Below are 20631 nucleotides of genomic sequence, written 5' to 3' on the forward strand. Positions count from 1 at the left end.
AATTTATTTTGTCTAATGTTTGTCTTTAAACAGTAGCACTCTGGTCCTCAACCAAGAGTTGTCCGCTTTGGGGGGTGTGTAGAACCTCCAGATCTCACTGTTCTTGGGGCCAGCCCTCCTAGTGGTGCAAAATGTGTACCTTCTTCCAGGAGATCAGATCTGAGCAGAAGATTGTGATTAAAATGGAGCCTAGAAATGTCTGTGGACCCATTACAGGTTGAGTGTTCCTGTTCTGAAATGCCCCCAAATCCAGAACTTTTTGAGTTCCGACATGATGCTTAAAGGAAATACTGGAGAATTTAGGATTTCAGGTTTTCAGATTAGGGATGTTCAGCTGGTATGTATTCTGCAGATATTCCAAAATCTGAAAACAAAAAATCCAAAATCTGAAACACTTCTGGTCCCAAGCATCTAGAGAAGGGGCTACTCAACCTGTATAATTCCTCCCTAGTCATCTTGATCCTACCTCAATGCCAGTGCTAGGGAAGGCTGCTCACTTTGAGATCAGGATTGGGAAGCCACCTGGCACATGGCCATGTAGTAGAGTCCTTATAAATTTCAGTTCATCTTCCTTTTCTGCCCATTCTTCCTTTCAGCAAAGCATGGTGAAACTCATGGGCTTGGGGGGCAGAGCTGAGTTTGAATCCCATTGAAGAGTTACATAGTTTCTCTGAGCCTCAGTTTCCTCAGTGGTGATGGTGATTCCACCTTAAAGGATGAAGGCAAGGATTGCATACATGGTGTTAGCCTGTAGCTCGTGGTAGATTCTCAGTGGGTAATGGTGTCTCCTCTGCTTCTTTCTTACCTTGAAAACCTTATGTATCTGTTTCTTTTTCTTTCCTTTTCTTTTCTTTCTTTTTTTTTTTTGAGACGGAGTCTTGCTCTGTCGCCCAGACTGGAGTGCAGTGGTGCGATCTTAGCTCACTGCAAGCTCCGCCTTCCGGGTTCACGCCATTCTCCTCCCTCAGCCTCCCAAGTAGCTGGGACTACAGGTGCCTGCCACCATGCCCAGCTATTTTTTTATATTTTTAGTAGAGACAGGGTTTTACTGTGTTAGCCAGGATGATCTTGATCTCCTGACCTTGTGATCTGCCCGCCTTGGCCTCCCACAGTGCTGGGATTACAGGTGTCAGCCACCGCACCCGGCCTTACGTATCTGTTTCTGGACTAGCTTCTGAGGGGCTGATCAATGCAGTCCACTAACCAGACATCCCAGTTTAAATAAGAAGTGGCAGTGAGTACAGGTAATATCTATCAGTGTAGATACATCAGGCTTAATAGTAGAAGTTAGGACTTTTTTCTTCATATACAGTTAGCTCTGCTATAACATATGTGCTCCTAAAAGTCAGCACGTGATGCAAAATTATGCAGTTAAAAACCATAGAGGGTAGGCACGTTGGTTTGTGATACCAGCACTTTGAGAGGCTGAAGTGGGAGGATTATTTGAGCCCAAGAGTTCGAGACCAGCCTGGGCAAAGCAAGACCCTGTCTCTACGAAATAAAAAGATTAGCTGGGCCTCGTGGCATGCACTTGTTTTCCTAGCTACTTGGGAGGCTGAGGCAGGGGTATCACTTGAACCCAAGAATCAGAGGCTGTAGTGAGCTATGATCACACCACCACACTCCAGCTCGGGCAACAGAGCAAGACTCTGTCTTTAAAAAAATAAAAAGAAAAATATGTTAAAAGGATAAAAACCACAGGGCTTGTGGGGAAAAGTGAGTAGGAATGTAATACTAAAAATATTTGTCAATGACACATTAAAAAGGAACCTAATAATGATAGCAGTTTTACACATGTTAAATGATTACGAAATAGATAACACTACAGTAAATATGGCATTTTCTCTTGAGAAGACCTGAAGTTTGCTTGTGGAAGCAGGTGTCAGAAGTTGGAGCTTGTGAGTATTACTGTGAACTGGTGCATGGAGGGCTATCTGAAATCAGATGGGAGTTGTAACTCCAGATGTTGACGGTGTAGCCTATTAATACATTGTAAACTGAGGAGGTTGCTAGATGCCTGTGGGTTTTGTGCATTCTTGTGTAACTAGGTTTAGCTGGGGGAAGTCTTCTGTGTTCATCTAGTGTTTCTCACAGACAAAATCACGCATAAGCAAATAGAATTCCCATTATGCTCACATCGTCCGCTTCTATATCAATAGCATTGGAACAAATTTGCATTTTCAAAGCAAGCATTACCGCAGAACTGACTGTAGTAGCTTCCCAGAAAAGGTCAACTTCTCCTAGACAGTACCCAAAAGTAGAAGTAAATAAATTCAGTGTAAAACATAAAGGCCCACAGCACCATTAATATCCTTGAGAAAGTGGTAAGCATTATATAAATACATTTTTGCATCCTTTATATATAGGTTACTATATTCTGGGTAAGTAGAGTTATTGTCAGACTGCATGCAAATAACAGGAGTGTGGGGATAAGTGGTCCTTGGCTGTATTTTGTACTGATCGGGCTTGTGTATTATCTCTGAATCACCTGCTACCTTGGCATTCTTTCAGTAGTGCACATAAGCCATCCTCAGCACCTTGATCTTATATTAGCTTACAAACAGATTTGACTTCATAGGTAGAGCAGTATAAAATAACCATATGTTGTGTTTCTGTATTCACCCAGATCTCGTTTAAGATACTCTGTAAATGAATCTTATATTACAAAAATAAATGTGAGCATGAATATATATGATGCTCGGAGGAGAGGGGTAGTCATAGAACCTGTGACTTTAAGCCGGGTGCGGTGGCTCACTCCTGTAATCCCAGCACTTTGGCAGGCCAAGGTGGGTGGGTCGCTTGAGCTCAGGGGTTCCAGACCAGCCTGGGCAACATGGTGAAACCCGTCTCTACCAAAAATTAAAAAACAAAAATAGCTGGGCATCGTAATGTGTGCCTGTAGTCCCAGCTACTCGGGAGGTTGAGGTGGGAGGATTGCTTGAGCCTGGGAGGTGGAGGCTGCAGTGAGCTGAGATTGTGTCACTGCACTTCAGCCTGGGCAACAGAGTGAGACCCTGTTTCATTAAAAAATAAATAATAGTAAAGAATCTGTGACTTTAACAGGTTGGGTAGACGAAAAAGCCTGGAGGGCCTATAGATGATCTTGTGGAGGGGTCTATGAAACCCAGAAATTGCAATACAAATTTTTGTCCTAAGTGCATTTTGAAGGGAAAGGGTCCTCAGCTTTCATCATGTTCCTAAAGGGACCTTTGTGAAATGGTGGAGAAATGCTGAATTTTTTTAAAAAATCCATGGAATATATATTCCTGTCAGTCATTTAGGGAAATTTAGAGTGATCTATAGTGGATCCTGGTCCATTGATTCCATACAGGGGAGCTATTATAGTTTCTTCAAGAAGCACTCCTGGCTGGCACCCTCAGCCACAGCAGGAACTGGCTTCGCCATTGGGTCGGCCTCGCATGTCATCTTTGATGCTTCCTGTAAATTAGCCACATGAGTGATGAAGGTCTTCCTTTCTAACAGGGGCCTATGCCTTTCCACTGTGTGTCTCATGCTACCCTTGACTTTATTTTTCAGATGGGAACAGCGAGAGCTGCCCAACGGACGTGTCTATTATGTTGACCACAATACCAAGACCACCACCTGGGAGCGGCCCCTTCCTCCAGGGTAGGTCATCAACTGAGAAGACCTGAGACTCTGGAACTGACACCATGAGTCACCCAATGGCTTCTTGAAACGGTCCCTTTCTGCGGAGGTAGCATAGCACAGTGACGTTTATTCCGGGTCACTTGATTGCTTTTCCTATCCACTTACCTTAATATTGCTCCCATGTCTTAGGACATATTAGAATTATTAGAAGATCTCTGGGAAACAAAAGGCGCATGGGAGGCCAAGATTTAGAGTGTTGATGCATTCCGCCGTACCCTATGCCCAGCCTGTCCCTAAAGGCAGAGTGCTTCTTATTCGGCAGGGCTTCGTGAGAATGCCGCCAAGTTATCCAAAACCAAAGGATGAGAGAGGCTTCCAAGAGAGGGAAGACTGTCCAAGTTCAAGGAGAAGGGGTTTGGTTCCCTGTCTGCCAGGGACAGAAAGTTCTTTCCACATGTGTCTCCTGGTCCCGAGAGCTTTCAAAAGGGGATGTATTCTGCTCCAAGAAAGAATCACCTCCCAGTAAAGTAGCCATGAAGGGCTCCTGTATAAAATATGCACACTTCCCCTGCCCTGAGTTTGTGGAGGGAAAGGCTGTCGGAAGTAGGGACTCTTAGGAGAGCCCGTGTGCCCTGTTTGGTTCAGCTGTCAGGCGTGTGCCACACACATCCCACCTCATCTTCTGGTCCCATAATTCTCCATGGATGGGCTGCTTTTAGCTCCAGTTTTCCAGTAGAATGCTTGAGTTTTCCTTTTTTCCGTACCTCCTGGAGGATGAAACTCATAACCTGTCATCATCAGTACTCACTGTGTTTTCCACTTTGACTTGAAGTCAAATGAAGTTACCAAAGTTAAACATGGACTTCTCAAATTAGAAAAAAACAAACAACAAAAAAACAGGTTAAGTGTTTTGTTATGAAAATTATGAAAATGTTCTTATTATTATGGAAAATTTCAAATAGATATAGAGAGAATAATGTTACAAACCCCCACATACTCAACATTTAGCTTCAAAAATTATCAACTCATGGCGGGTTTTGTTTCATCTGTACAAACTAGTCGGCACACTATGATGGCCTGTGGACAAAATCCGGCCCTCTGACTGTTTTTGTAAATAAGGTTTTATTGGAACACAGCCACACATATTTGTTGACTTATTGTTTTTGGCTGTTTTTGTACTTCATTGGCAGAGTTGAGTAATTGCAGCAGACTCTATGGCTTGCAAAACCTAAAATAATTACTTTGTGTAGCGCTTTATAGAAAAAATTTGCTAACTCCCGATCTGTAACCCCCAACCTATCCGCCGCACCCTGATCTAGGTAATTTTGAAGCAAATCCCAAATGTCACATCATCTATCCATATTTCACTATGTATTTCTAAAACATATTCTTTTATTCAAAATAAAACTCTAATATCATTAACAGTATTTTGTTTATATTATCAAATACCCAGTCAATATTTGACTTTCTATAATTGTGTCACAAATTAAACATTGACTTTAACAGTATGTATTACACACTTGTACTTTGTGTACTTTATAACATGTGCACTTTAAAACAGCAGGAGCTCTGTGTACTGTGGCTTTTTTTTTTTTAGACGGAGTCTCGCTCTGTTGCCCAGGCTGGAGTGCAGTGGTGCAATCTCCAGCTCACTGCAACCTCCACCTCCTGGGTTCAAGCGATTCTCCTGTCTCAGCCTCCTAAGTAGCTGGGATTACAGGCGCCCGCCACTATGCCCAACTAATTTTTTGTATTTTTAGTAGAGACAGGGTTTCACCATTTTGGCCAGGCTGGTCTTGAACTCTTGACCTTGTGATTCGCCTGCCTTTGCCTCCCAAAGTGCTGGGATTACAGATGTGAGCCACTGCGCCCAGCCTACTGTGGCTTCTTCTTAACCTCTCTTGTCTAGGAGGGACGTAGGCCTTGACCCAGTGAGCATTTGCATGGAATTTAAGTAAAGATATTCAGTGGTACCTTCTAAGGATCGCTGGGGACTTGCTCTCCTCTAGGTGTTGAGGTGGGACACTACTAATCAAGCTGTCTTATTTCAGGGTAGTTTTCATGTTTTCCTGGGAGATGGCTCACCTGTACGCCCTGCATAGCTTACTAGTCCTTCCTGAGTTTTAGGTCAAGAACTTTGAGCCTCTAGCTCTCATTTCTGCTCTGTAATCACAGGGGATCCAGAGAGAACAGAATGAATGCTTAAGCTTTCATTTCTCATTAATGGCAGAAGTCCTGCCTCCAGGGAAGTATTAACCATGGTGAAAACAATTTTGAAACTACAGATGGAGCCATGATCTCAACAGACCTAGTCCCTGGGGAGCAAGATTGAACCACCGATTCACTTAATCATGGCCGTCCCTGCATAGGAAACCCACAGGAAACTTGTATGAGAATGGGTCCTTCTATCCGGGAGCAATAAGTATTGGACCTAGTAGCTCAGGGTGAATGCATCCATTTGCTCATCAGTCACTCTTAAGCAGTGTTCAGACCACAGGTAAGCAAAGAGTGATCACTGTGAAACAAGAGGATTGAGGAGGCCTCACAGAGGGAAGTGGCTCCAACTCTTGCAAGAAGATGATCCAGGTTGGGGGGACAGTGGAGGTGGCTGCCTGCATATGGGAAGGGAAAGGATGTGTTTGGGGAAGGATGCATGGGGTGGTTATGCTGGAGTGGAAGGGTTGTATGAAGTAAAGAAGTCCAAGTGTGCCCGGTGGGGCTCTCAGGTTTGGGGGAGATGCCCACCAGAGCCAAAGAGGGTGGAAGGGCTGACTGGGCCTCCAGTCACTGTTCTGTGCAAGATTTCAACTGAAATAAAGAGTGCAATCGTGCTTCTTAGAAGTGGAAATTCACCACAGCAGAGTACTTTTAGTTAAACATGTGGCTTGAACATGTGTTTATTTCTATTCTTCCTGAAAACCCACTAAAATAGTAATAAAAGTATTAAAAAGGCATAAACCTTCAACAATAAAGGGATGGAAGAGGAGAAACAGCATATGGGAGATGTTAATCAAAGTTTAGTTTCTGATAGATAAATGGCAGAGCCGAGAGAATGAAACCCACACCTGCAGGATGAGGAATCCACCAGGAAGCCGGCTGATGTGCACCATGGGGCTCTGGAAAGCCTCAGCGATTAGAGGCACCAAGGATGGGTGTGGAATGAGATTAAAACCTTGGCTGGGCTCGGTTGCTCACGCCTGTAATCCCAGCACTTTGGGAGGCCGAGGCAGGTGGATCATGAAGTCAGGAGATTGAGACCATCCTGGCTAACACGGTGAAACCCCATCTGTACTAAAAATACAAAAAATTAGCCAGGCATGGTGGCACACACCTGTAGTCCCAGCTGCTTGGGAGGCTGAGGCAGGAGAATTGTTTGAACCCCAGCGGCGGAGGTTACAGTGAGCTGAGATTGCACCACTGCACCACTCTAGCCTGGACGACAGAGCGAGACTCCATCTCAAAAAAAAACAAAACAAAACCTCATTGGTTTTAGATCAGTTGGAAGATGAGTTGGAAGTTTGTGCAGGGAGTTAGATTCACACACACACACACACACACACACACACACACACACACACAGCCTCATGACTGCCTCTGACATTGAGAAGCTGCAGAGAGAGTAGGAGGACCAGGTCGGGGGACACAAACTATAGCTGAAGGCCAGGATGAACTCAGAAACAAGAGATTAAATGCGGATGCTATCTCCATTCCCCAGGCTGAAAATTGGAGGGTAGTTTTGTTTGTTTGTTTGTTTGTTTTTGCTGGGGAAAGTGATAGTCTAAGAGAAAGAAACATAGATTGTGATATTTGGGAACCTTCTAGTGAAATAGCTGAGACTCTTCCTGGTCACTCTACAGTCTGCAGCCCTCATCTGAGGATACAGAACTCAGTCAGTGTTTTAGTGGCTCACTGTTAAATGCGAATGAACACAGCTGGGCACGGTGGCTCACACCTGTAATAGTAGAACTTCCAGAGGCCAAGGCAGGAGGATCTGGAAGTAGAACTTCCAGAGGCCAAGGTGGGAGGATCGCTTGAGTCCAGGAGTTCGAGACTAGCCTGGGCAACATATGGAGAACCAGTCTCTACAAAACAAAAAAAAAAAAAAAAAAAAAAAAAAAAAAAAATATATATATATATATATATATATATATATATATATATATTTTTTTTTTTTTTTTTTTTTTTTTTTTTTTTTTTTTTTTTTTTTTGAGACAGAATTTTTGCTCTCGTTGCCCAGGCTGGAGTGCAGTGGCGCAATCTCGGCTCACTGCAACCTCCACCTCCCAGGTTCAAGCGATTCTCCTGCCTCAGCCTCCTAAGTAGTTGGGGTTACAGGCACATGCCACCACGCCCAGCTAATTCTTGTAATTTTTTTTTTAAAGTAGAGATGGGGTTTCACCATGTTGGCCAGGCTGGTCTCGAACTCCTGACATCAGGTGAGCCACCCACCTCGGCCTCCCAAAGTGGTGGGATTACAGGCGTGAGCCACCACGCCCAGCCAAAAAAAAGTTTTTTTTAAATTAGCTGAGTGTGGTGGTGTATGCCTGTGTTCCCAGCTACTTGGGAGGCTGAGGTGGGAGAATCAGTTGGGCCTGGAAGGTTGAGGCTGCAGTGAGCCGTGATTGTGCCACTGCGCTCCAGCCTGGGTGACAGAGCAAGACCCTGTCTCAAAAAATTATAATAATAAATAAAAATAAATGTGAACAAACAGCCAAAGATGAGCAGACAGAAAAAAGAGACTTGGTGAAAACAATATAGGAAGCTGAAAAACAGCTTTGGAAAGGAAAACCAGATTATAATTGATATCCTCAAAGATTTGGGAGAAAATAATGGCATCTGTGCAACAAGAACAGGAGGCCATGAAATGGACCAGGCAGAAAACAGGAGCTTTTAGAAATTAATATATATGACAACAGAAATGAAAAATTCAGTAGAATGGTTGAAAGGTAAATTTGGGCTGAGCATGGTGGCTCACGCATGTAATCCCAGCACTTTGGGAGGGCGAGGCAGGTGGATCACCTGAGATCAGAAGTTCGAGACCAGCCTGGCCAACATGGTGAAACCCCCGTCTCTACTAAAAATATAAAAAATTAGCCAGGCGTGGTGGTGCTTGCCTATAATCCCAGCTACTCGCGAGGCTGAGGAAGGAGAATCGCTTGAACCTGGGAGGCAGAGGTTGCAGTGAACTGAGATCACACCATTGCACTCCAGCCTGGGCGACAGAGCGAGACTCTGTCTCAAAAAAAAAAAAAAAAAAAAAAAAAAAAAGAAAGTGATAAATTTGGAGATAAGAAGATGAGAAGATGTGACCAAGACATTCAATATCTGAAGAATAGTTCTTTAGCAAGAACTTGCGGAATAGCAGGAAAGAACAGAGAAACAGGCAATAGGAAATCATTAGAAAAGAAAATTGCCAGAACTCAAGTATCCAGATTCAAACAGCTCACCACACGCCTAGCCCAGAGGATAAAAAAAGACTCACCCCAAGGCTCATCTGATTGAATTTCTGAGTGCCAAGAGACAGCCTCAGAAACTTCCAGAGGGAAAAAACAGAGTACCTAGAAAGGATCAGGAACCAAGAGTGCCATCCTTCTTCTCAGCTGTAGAGCAGGACCTTCACAATTCCGATGGAAAATGATTTCCTGCCGGGCACAGTGGCTCAAACGTCTAATCCCAGCACTTTGGGGGGCCAAGGCAGGAGGATCGTTTGAGTCCAGGAGTTCAAGACCAGCCTGGGCAACACAGTGAGACACTATCTCTTAGAAAAACAAAAAATTGGCCCCGCATGGTGGTGCGTGCCTGTAGTCCTAGCTACTTGGGAGGCTGAGGTGGGAGGATCACTTGAGCTGGGAGGTCGAGGCTGCAGTGAGCCATGATCATGCCACTGCACTCCAGCCTGGGCAACAGAGCAAGACCCTGTCTCAAAGAAACAAAAAAGAAAATGATTTCCTGTCTAGAAATCAACTTTGAGTTATTTTAACATTTGAATATGAGAGTAGAAGTCAAGGCATCTTCAGACATTCTGGGCTTCAAAAAATTAACCTTGATACATCCTGTCTTGGAAGCTACTCCATGATTTATCGCACCAAATCCCACCAGGAAGCCAAGAAAGAAGAATGAATGGGATGCAAGACACAGGGAACTTAACCCCGAGGCCATGGAATCTCCCAGGAGGAGGAGAAGGGAAGGCAAGTCAGGTCAAGGACACAGAGCGGGTGTGAGATGGACACACAACTGTCCCCGTCAGATGAGGGAGAGATGTGGCCGAGAGAGGAAGGCCACTGCCAGGCCACCTGTCCCGTCTGAGAATCTGGGGATGCATCAGTGATAGGTTCTTGAAAACCACACAGAAGACGACAAGGAAGTTCTCACCTCCAGAAAAAAGAAAAAAGTTGTTACAAGTAAGGAAATGTACTTATAGTATTCTACATTGTCATCCAAACCCTGAATATTGATTTAACGGTGAGTTTCCATATTGAGAGGACGAGGGGAGGAGATAGTTGAGGGATGGAATGCAATACCTATATCCTCATCCCTCATCTTTGGTAGTGGAAAGTCCATAAGCGATAGCAAATATGGCAAAAATCAAGAAATAATGAGCCAGGCTTGGTGGTGCACACCTGAGACTACTCAGCTACTCAGGAGGCTGAGGCTGGAGGATAGTTTGAGCCCAGCAGTTCAAATCCAGTTTGGGCAACATAGTGAGATCCTGTCTCTGTATTAAAGAAAAGACAAAAAGCAATGAAATAGACATGTTATTTAGAGACACAGATGTACACATATACTAGTAGAAGCAATTGAGAGTTGAAAGTGGTTGCCTTCGGGGAACAGGAGTCAGCAATGGGGCAAGAGACCATCGTTTTTCATTATATTCCCTGCAGTCCTGTTTATGTTTCAAAACTATATACATATGACTTCGGGCCGGGTGCAGGGGCTCACACCTGTAATCCTAGCACTTTGGGAGGCTGAGGCGAGAGGATTGCTTGAGCCCAGGAGTTTGAGACTAGCCTGAGCCACACGGGGAGGCTTCCATGTCTACAAAAATTTTTTTAAAAAATTAGTTGAATGTGATGGTGCATTCCTGTGGTCCTAGCTATTCAGGAGGCTAAGGTGGGAGGATCACTTGAGCCTGGGAGGTGAGGCTGCAGTGAGCCATGATCCTGCTACTCTACTCTAGCCTGGACTAACAGAGTGAGACCCTGTCAAAAAAAAAAAAAAATCTTTGGTAACAAAAATAAATAAAAATCACTAGTTTAGACAAATTATGAGAAAGCTAGGAAGGTTCCAGATTTTTGTGAGCCTTGTGTACTTACTAAAGGATTTTGACTCAAGGGCAATGGGGAGTCAATGGAAGTGTTGTTGTTGTTGTTGTTGTTGTTTGAGACAGGATCTCACTCTGTCGCCCAGGCTGGAATGTAGCAGCATAATCATAGTTCACTGTAGCCTTGATCTCCCAGGCACAAGCAGTCCTCCCACCTCAGCTGCCCAAGTAGCTGGGACCAAGGGCGCACACTCCACCACCCCCAGCTAATTTTTAAAAAATATTTTTGTAGAGATGGGGGTCTCCCTCTGTTGCTTAGGCTGGTCAATTGAAGTTTTTGAGCAGGAGTGTGACCGAAGGGCTCAGTCTAGTGGGTTACTCTGATGGCTATTTGTAGGCTGGATGGAGTGGGGAGGTTAATTCTGGGGTAGGAGCAGTAGTCCAGGGGTGAGGTGATACAGATCTGGACATAGGAATGGAAAATGGAAAGTCAGTGGCAGGGAGACTGAAAAAGCAGCAGTCAGGCTGAATGATTGATAGCAGCGGGAATGATGTTGGCCTGGTTTCATCCCTGGGAGGAGAATTGACATGAGGAGACTGAAGAAAGGCCTGGGTGTGGGGAGAGAGCTGTGGCATTCAATTGAATGAAGGGTGACAGCTGGTCATGAAGGTGAGGCACTCTAGCAGGCAGAATCCAGACAAAATCTGGGAACTGACTGTGGGTCCTAGGAACCACTTGAGGGGAAACCATTTTTAGGGAGGCCTTGAGTTTAAAAAAAAATCATTGAGGCCGGGTGCAGTGGCTCACGCCTGTAATCTCAGCACTTTGGGAGGCCGAGGTGGGAGGATCGTTTGAGTCCAGGAGTTCGAGACCAGTCTGGGCAACATGGCGAAACTCCATCTCTACTAAAAATATAAACAGTGAGACTCTGTCTCAAAACAAAACAAAACCAAAGACCATGCAACATGTTTACACTGGCACCTTATATCAGGTGAGTTTCAGTTGCAAGTAACAAAAGTTGTTAGCAACATTGGCTTAAATAAGGAAGGGAATGTATTGGCTCATGTAACTGAAAATTCTAGATATCAATCCTGATTCCAAGCGAAGCTTGGGCTACTCAACAATATCACCAAGGAATTGGCTTTTCTCCCATTTTTCTGCTCTGCCATCCACTGGGTCAACTTCCTATTGTCTTCGGGTCCAAAATAATAGCCAGTGGCCCCCAGGACCACATGCTTCCTCAGTCATATTCAGAAAGGATGAGCAACTATTATTTTTCCTAGATTTGCTAGCAGATGTCCTGAGATTGGCTGTGGCTGGCTCAACATACATCACATGTGCACTTCTGGTCCAGGCAACCATGCAACTCTGAGGTTGGGAACAGAGTCAGCTTCCCCAGAACCACATGGATCCCCAAATTAGAAATTGAGAGCTAATGGCAAGGAGGGATTGGGTGCTGCAGAGGCAACCACAGATGTCTGCTATAATCAGCTAAGCCCCAGCAACCTCTGTGACAGGGCCTGCCCGGCTGTGCTAGGCATCCTGAGACTTTTCTAGAATTGGGGGATGGGAGTGGGGTGGTCATTATATTCATTCTGAGGTTCCTATTTCCAGCTGGGAAAAACGCACAGATCCCCGAGGCAGGTTTTACTATGTGGATCACAATACTCGGACCACCACCTGGCAGCGTCCGACCGCGGAGTACGTGCGCAACTATGAGCAGTGGCAGTCGCAGCGGAATCAGCTCCAGGGGGCCATGCAGCACTTCAGCCAAAGATTCCTCTACCAGGTGAGAGGGCAGGCGCTTGGCCCGAGGTGGGGCCGCCTCCCTGCGCTTGCGAATGTGCAGCCACGTGTTCTCTGTTGACCTGCTTAGTGAGCAGGGAAAACAGCGTCTGGCAACGTCAGTGCTCTGCCCCTGGAGATTTTACTCATCACAGTGAAATTCCTCAAATTCCAGTGTGCCTCACTCAGCAGCTCCATATCTAGCCTCTGTGTTTAAGGAATCAACGTGTCTAAAACTGAATTCCCCGTCTTTCTTCCGAGATCGGCTTTCATTTCTGCCCCCTTCATTCAAGTCCATTTTCCCTGACTTGCACCCTGACTTGCTTTGACTTCTCCCATCCCTCACCTTTCCAGATGAAAGCAATCACCAGGCAACATAGTGAGACCCTGTCTCTAAAAAAAAACAAAAACAAAAACAAAAACCTGCTACTGTTTTTTGTTAGATCTTTATTATCTGACACATTCTCAGGGATGAAGGATCCTTGGGCTCATCTAGATCAGGGATTGGCAAATAATAGTCCATGGGCCAAGCTGGCCTGCCACTTCATTTTGTTAATAAAGTTTCATTGAAACATAAGAACACCCAGCAGTTTACATATTAATGGTGGCTGCTTTCGTGGTACAATGGTAGAGTTAAGTATCACAATAAAGACTGTACAGCTCAGAAATCCTAAAGTAGCCTAAGCCTACTGTCTGACCCTTTGCTGAAAAAGTTTGTTATCTTTGGTCTAGCTGAGCCTCCTTCTTTCTGATGCTTGATCATCTTCTGCCCCTTCCCATCTGAATTGCTAGAGCAGCCTCTAAATTGTTCTCTCCATTGGCCTTCTCTCTCTTCCAATCCATCTGGCCTGTTCCCCTCAGAGCAGTCTTCAAACGTTACTGTCATTGCATCCATTTACTGGCTCAAAACCTTTTGTGGTCTTTACCTAAAGAGTAACATTTAAATTTTCTTTTTCCTTTTCTTTCTTTTTTTTTTTTTTTTGAGATGGAGTCTTGCTCTGTTGCCCATGCTGGAGTGCAGTGGCACAATCTCGGCTCACTGCAACCTCTGTCTCCTAGGTTCAAGCAATTCTCCTGCCCCAGCCTCCCAAGTAGCTGGGATTACAGGTGCCCACCACCACACCCGGCTAATTTTTGTATTTTTAGTAGAGATGGGGTTTTGCCATGTTGGCCAGGCTGGTCTTGAACTCCTGACCTCAAGTGACCTGCCCTCCTCGGCCTCCCAAAGTGCTGGGATTACAAGCATGAGCCACCATCCCCGACCACATTTAAATTTTCTTTTCTTTTCTTATTTCTTTTTTTTAAGATGGAGTTTTGCTCTTGTTGCCCAAGCTGGAGTGCAATGGCATGATCTCAGCTCACTGTAACCTCCACTGCCCGGGTTCAAGCAATTCTCCTGCCTCACCCTCCCAAGTACCTGGGATTACAGGCACACGCCACCGTGCCTGGCTAATTTTTTGTATTTTTAGTAGAGACGGGGTTTCACCATGTTAGTCAGGCTGGTCTCGAACTCCTGACCTCAGGTAATCCGCCCACCTTGGCCTCCCAAAGTGCTGGGATTGCAGGTGTGAACCACCATGCCTGGCCCACATTTAAATTTTCTCGTCCAGAATTGTGGGTGCTCTGGTTTCAAACTAACTGCCTAAACAGTCTCCTATACCGTGTCCCTGTGGGAACCCTCCCAGTTCCACCTGCTGGAGTCTCCATCCCATTAGAGGGTCCACAGTGAGCTGGAGGTGGGGAAGCCCAGCTGCAAAGCCTCTTTGGTAGGGAGACGTGGGACTCCCAAGTTGGCTGATTATATTTTCTCAGAGCACTTTAGATGCGAAGGTTGGGATCTACAGCAGAACTAACACAGGATATGATGGTGCATTGCAGGCTGGAAATGTTTTGAGCTGGGTCCCTGACTTTTTTTTTTTTTTTTTTTTTGAGACAAGGTCTCATTCTGTGTCACCCAGGGTGGAGTGCAGTGGCATGATCATGGCTTATTGCAGCCTTGACCTCCTGGGCTGAAGTGATCCTCCCACCTCAGCCCCCTCAAGTAGCTGGGACTACAGGCATGCACAGTCACACCTGGCTAATTTTTTGTATTTTTAGTAGAGATGGGGTTTTGCCATGTTGCCCAGGCTGGTCTTGAACTCCTGGGCTCAAGCAATCCACCTGCCTTGGCCTCCCAAAGTGCTGGGATTACAGGTGTGAGTCACCACACCCAGCTGATGGACCCCCGACTTTTAATCATCAGCCATAAGTCACTGTAGCATCTCCCTTGGTTAGTTCTGTCTGTGGGGATGGATTGCTCATTGTACAGGGAGGAAACCATGGAGGACCTCAGTTTCCTTAGCAGAGGTGAGCAGAAAGTGTGGTGTTTGTCTTAGTAAGTTGCTCCAGGGTCGACGATCATGCCCCTCTCCAGCCAGGGCCCCGCTGTCTAGCCCAGTGCGCTCTGCACACTTTCTTGGGCTAGGCTTCCCACCCATGCCTGCCACACATGCCTGACATCCAATTCTGGCATGTTTCAGAATTGGATGGAATCTGGTCTTTCACCACATTTCAGAGATTGCTCCTTTTGAGCTGGGCCCAAAAGATTTTGCCTGCCATTTTCTTGGGTGGTTGTGGCTGCAAAACTGGGAAGGTCTGGGGCATCTTTCTTCTTTGACCTATCTGTCCTTTGACTTAGAGACAAGGACGTATTTTAGGAGTTTCACATGGTTTTTGTCTACCTGATTATCCAAAATTTCTCATTAAAAAAAAAAAATGGAACCGAATGTTGTGGTGCACACCTGTAATTCCAGCAACTTGGAAGACTGGCGGGTGGGAGGATCACTTGAGCCCAGGAGTTTGAGGCTGCAGTGACCTATAATAGTGCCACTGCACTCCAGTCTGGATGACAGTAAGATCCTGTCTCAATAAATAAATAAATAAAATAAAATGCATTAAAGCAATTTTTTTTTCCCTTAAAAGCCCCACTAGTTAGGTTCTGTGGGTTGACCAAGATGTTGGTGTGTGAAAGGGAAGATTCCCAGATTCTGGAGCTCACATCTGCCTGGTCTTTTTGGAGTCTTCCTTCCTGCCTGCCTCTCTTAGCAACATTATTCTGGGTTTATAGAGGTAGAACTTTGACTTGGAGGGTTCCCTAGAAGTAAAAATTAAACACTAAAAAATTCTTCTTTCTGAGTACTCTAAAATGGTTTTCTCAGGCTCGCTGGGGATGTGGGAGGGTTCTGCATGGAGGTGATAGTTACCTTTTCTCCATGAAACAAAACTCATATTGAAAAATGTGGCAGGAATCTTTCTTTGGTCTGCTTTCAATGTCTCTCTGTTGATTTTCCTCCCCCTCTGGCATTGGTTTTCTCCTCTTGTTTGCTATGGTGCCATGTCCTGGTTACAAGTAAGAAGGGTTGCTTTCATATAGTTATTTTGGGGTTTGGCTTAGGCCCAGAGTTTGACTCGGAAGACTTAAGACCCAATACTAGACTAGCTAGCGGCCTCCCCTCCTCCTCTTGCTGGGCTTCAACTGAGACCTTGTTCTTCTTTGCTGCACTGCAGAGAACATGAAATACAGTTCAAAATGGAAATCAAGGGAATCCCAGATTGCAGTCTCCTGTAATTCCTTCCTGCTGTCTGCCTCAACACACACCTTCTCCAGTTCCTCTAAATTCTGGTTCTTAGTTTTTCTGCCATGTTTCCCTTTCCCAACTCCTAGTGTGCTAATGTTGCCCGTGATCATCGTGTATCTTTTCGTTTGCTTGCTTCACCGTTGCAGTTTCTTTTTGCCGTCTTGTGTCGTGTTCCTGCTGGGACCCACTGAAGATGCCTGGCACAGCCTTGCACATTGTGCTGTTGTGACGGGACTATCACACGGCCGACAATTTCTGGGGCATCTCTCTCTGCAGTATTGAAACAGATTATTTTGACTGGGCGCGGTGGCTCACGCCTGTAATCCCAGCACTTTGGGAGGCTGAGGCAGGCGGATCACTTGAGGTCGGGAGTTCAAGACCATCCTGGCCAACATGGTGAAACCCTGTCTCTACTAAAAATACAAAAATTAGCTGGGCGTGGTGGCGGGCACCTTTAGTCCCAGCTACTTGGGAGGCTGAGGCAGGAGAATCGCTTGAACTCGGGAGGCAGAGGTTGGTTGTGGTGAGCTGAGATCATGCCACTGCACTCCAGCCAGAGACACAGAGTGAGACTCCATCTCAAAAAAAAAAAAAAAAAGGTAAAAGAAACAGATTATTTTGTGGCTCTTAGGGTGTGGACTCCAAATTGCATTATCGAGAAACAGACAACTTGTTTCTTACTCTGCAATGAGCCCCTTGCATTGAATTCTCAAGCACCTGGATTTTGTTCTGCATCCGTCTGGTGCATCCTTAAAAAAAAAAAAAAATGCCTGCGTTCCACGCTGCAACCTTTATGCCCTTCCCAGACCTTTCTTACCCTCAGCTGTATTTGCTAGACATTCTTTATTTCTGAGTTTGTATCTTAAAATATTACTGGAACTTTGTGCTTAGTTCCCAAGGGACTTGAACTCTCATGAGCTCTCTGGCTCATGGCCTGCACCCCAGATCTCCCAACCCAGGGACCATTACCCGGGAAGAGGATTCCACAGTGTTCTTTTCTGTTCCTAGTGATAGAGAACATCTAGGATCTCCCTTCTGGCTGCAGAGTCCCGCTTTCCCCCATCTCCATCCTTTTCTGCTCCACGTAACACCTTGACATCTCTCATTTTAGGGGAATGTGGTAGAAGAGGAGGGGCAGCCGGTTGGCTCATTGGAGGTGTGGGGTTTTTGGCTTTTGGTTTTCTGGCCATGATGCATAGTTTTTATTTTTCATTTCTTCTTGTTCCTTCCTTCTGGCTTTATTTTTCAAGTTGTACTGCGTACCTTAGGGAAGAAGTATCCAAAATCGTCAAGTGCTTCTATTTAACAATGAAAAGTAAAATTGTTGTGAGGATCAGCTCCCATTGATTCTGATTTTATTAGGTTGGTGCAAAAGTAATTGTGGTTTTTGCCACGACTCTTTTTTTTTTTTGAGACGGAGTCTCGCTCTGTTGCCCAGGTTAGAGTGCAGTGGCGCAATCTCGGCTCACTGCAACCTCTGCCTCCTGGGTTTAAGCGATTATCCTGCCTCAGCCTACTGAGTAGCTGGGATTATAGGTGCCTGCCACTATGCCTGGCTAATTTTTGTATTTTCAGTAGAGACAGGGTTTCCCCATGTTGGCCAGGCTGGTCTCGAACTCCTGACCTCAAGTGATCCATCCGCCTCAGACTCCCAAAGTGCTGGGATCACCAGCCTGAGCCACGGCACCCGGCCGCCATGACTCCACAATTACTTTTGCACCAACCTAATAAATGTTGTTTGTGTTTATCAGTCTCTGGTGTCTCTCCCTTTCCTGTCTGCCTCCTCTTCTCCTCGCTTCTTATAGGTGTGTGTGTTGGGGGGGTGGGGGGGGTGCGTTCTGATAGAATAACAAACAGAGGATACCAAGGAAATTTTTTAAAAACCCTTTAACGAAAGAGAGCCAACATTGCATGAAGGCTGAGATTTTTTTTAAAAGGCAAGGATTCAGAAAAGGGCTGATCAGTATTTTCTGATCCTAGTTCAGTGCTAGTCAGGGAGACTGTCAGTAAAGACCTTTTTGGTCTGTTGATTTGTAGAATTAAGCAAAAGATGACCATGCCCCTGTGGAAGCTGGGTTGGTACCAGCTGGTAGCTGATTTCCCAGGAGAACCCTGAACGCTTTACAGATGATCTACTGACTCCAAAACAAGACCTGAAGCAGCAAACACTTTTACACCAAATGCGTCTTCTTTTAATGTCTTAAAATAACCTTTTCTATAGTCCTTCCCTTTTGCAAGGTCACTGCTGTAGCTCAGCACTTACCCAGTGCCTCTGGCTCCATGATGTAGAATACGTGTGTTTTCTCATTTGTTCCTTTGCCTCTGTTGCCGAATGTTTTTAATGTGTTAACTACAAAACAGAGTTGGAGGAACTTGGATTTTATGAGATGCTGTACCCTATCTCCCCCAACCCCCCAACACACAGACACACGCCCCCATGACTTGGAATTCGGGAGATTTTTTTCAGTAATGATTCAACGTGATTTGTGATGGAGAATTTTAGGCACAGCTTGAGATCAATGATAAGGGGCCCTAAATCAAGGTGAGCTTCCCCCACCTCCGTGCACTTGCATTCTGTGTGGGCAGGAGGCCCTGCCCTGAAAGGGGGCTCCGTCCTGTCAAGAGCCTATGGTTTCAAGACTTAAACATCTTTGTTGGAACTTGCTTGGAAGAGGGGCCTGTGTTGCCACCTTGGAAAGAAAGTTTCTCTGTCCTTTCAGCTGGGGGTGGAGGGAGGGCTGTGGAAGGGGGCTTGCTGGCAGTTGAGTTCCACCAATGTTTTCTCAAGCCGACACTGAGCCCCATTCATCCTCCTGCCCATGTGTGGCTCCGGCACCCCTAGACGGGGCCAGCCCAGCAGCCTGAAGTCCGCATTTAGAACTTGATCCCCTCTTATAACGATTAAATTTTAGTAAGTAAAATAAAAATGCTTCAGAAAGAAAAAAAAGAAAGGAAGAAAGAGTGGAACAATACTTGTTTTATTTAACGACCAGAACTTTTTGACAACACCCCCCTTCCCCGCAGGATATGAGAATGCCTGGTCCACTGCAGTCCATCCCCAGGGACCTCGAAGCAGAATTTGGCTGGAGGGGGTGTGGGGGGGATTCTAATGTAAACAGTGACCCTGAAGCCCTGGAGCCAGTTCCCCCTTCTTTCCCCTGTCTCCCCTTCTGTCTTGCTGCCCCACCCCCAGCCCCAACACCCCCCACCCCCCCCACCCCCACCCCGAGACAAACACAGAACACTGAGCAACTTCAGGTTCAGGCAGGGGAGGAATAAAGGTGCTTTGTAAAGGGGAAGGAAAACATTCCTGGGGGAGGTGAGGGCTTGGGGCATGAATGTGCCCTCAGTCTGGGTGGACGCTGCACACCCAGATGGGAGGTTGGGGGGGACGCCGAGGTGGAGGGAGGAGGGCCGGGCCCCAGCCAGGAAGCTCTGGGCGTGGGCAGGGCTTGTGGGAATGATTTCATTGGAAAGGCCTGCGATATTTTTTCCCCTCCTGCGTGTGGTTCTTGGAGAAAGTTGGAGGTGGTGGTGATTTCAGTCGCCTTGGCCGCCTTGAGCCGGAGCTGAGCGGAGGCACTGGGCCGAGCCTGCTTCCCGGGCCTTCCTACCATGCCAGGGCTGCTCCCTGCCTCCGCCACCCTGGCACACCTTCACCCGCGTACCGCCTCCTCCCCGTCGCTCTGCCTTTTCCAAAACTCACTTGGGCCCTCCGTGCGCAGGGTTCTTTTTTGGTTTTTCTGTAAAAATCAAAACAAAAAACAGAGACTTTTGAGAGGAGCAGATGCCACCTAAAGTCCCACTGCATTCCCTGCAAAGCGCTCAAATGTGGAAGCCAGTCATTGGCATTTTTATTTTTTATTGATTGATTGATTTTTTCACCAGTGGCTTTTTGTAACCTCTGTGTTCTGCTGTGTTTCTTGTGTTTAGTCTTCGAGTGCTTCGACTGACCATGATCCCCTGGGCCCCCTCCCTCCTGGCTGGGGTAAGTACTGAGTTCTCTTCCTGGCCCTTGGCCTTCCGTCAGCCACGGTGCTCTGTCCTCTCCTCCCGCGTGTCTTCCTTCCCTGTTCCTGTCCCTCTGTTTTCCATCTCTCCCCTCTCCAGCACACTCTCTGGGCATGCCCCACCAGAGCAATTACAGGTGATGGAGCTGGGCAGCTGGGAAAGTAACCAAGCTCCACCGAACCACTGTAGCATCCACCCACCATCGCTAAAGGAGTGTGACCCTAAGAAAAGATGTCCCTGAGCAGCTGGGGGGCTATTGGCTTTTGGTCTTGAGTTTCAAGGTGTCTACTCAAGAGTCCATGCTACCACTAAGATATTTTGACACTGCCTAACTCCCAAATGGATTT

General features: G+C 46.1%; 1 protein-coding gene across 16 annotated transcripts in view, besides 1 other annotated feature; it reads left to right on the forward strand.

Moving 5' to 3' along the window:
• The window catches only part of WWP2 (WW domain containing E3 ubiquitin protein ligase 2), a 179408-nt gene that overhangs the window by 142892 nt on the left and 15885 nt on the right, over window positions 1–20631 (forward strand). For 14 of the 16 annotated variants that reach the window (XM_017022879.2, XM_017022881.2, XM_011522823.3 and 11 more), the window contains 3 exons: window positions 3538–3627; window positions 12486–12660; window positions 20207–20261. In XM_017022879.2, coding sequence (XP_016878368.1) covers window positions 3538–3627; window positions 12486–12660; window positions 20207–20261 — 320 coding nt within the window. Of the gene's footprint in view, window positions 1–3537; window positions 5183–12485; window positions 12661–19815; window positions 20262–20631 lie in introns of those variants that run through there. The other 2 variants (NM_001270455.2, NM_199424.3) reach the window with 2 other exon arrangements.
• Window positions 11858–13057: an enhancer, noted in NCBI's record as "MED14-independent group 3 enhancer chr16:69950984-69952183 (GRCh37/hg19 assembly coordinates)". NCBI's record gives its function as "activates an origin of replication core promoter dependent on BRD2, BRD4, P300/CBP and CDK7 cofactors, and independent of MED14, by STARR-seq in HCT116 cells {active_cell/tissue: HCT116}" and the evidence as "EXISTENCE:reporter gene assay evidence [ECO:0000049][PMID:35650434]".

This window comes from Homo sapiens, chromosome 16 (assembly GCF_000001405.40).
Source record: "Homo sapiens chromosome 16, GRCh38.p14 Primary Assembly".
Lineage (NCBI taxonomy): Eukaryota > Metazoa > Chordata > Mammalia > Primates > Hominidae > Homo > Homo sapiens.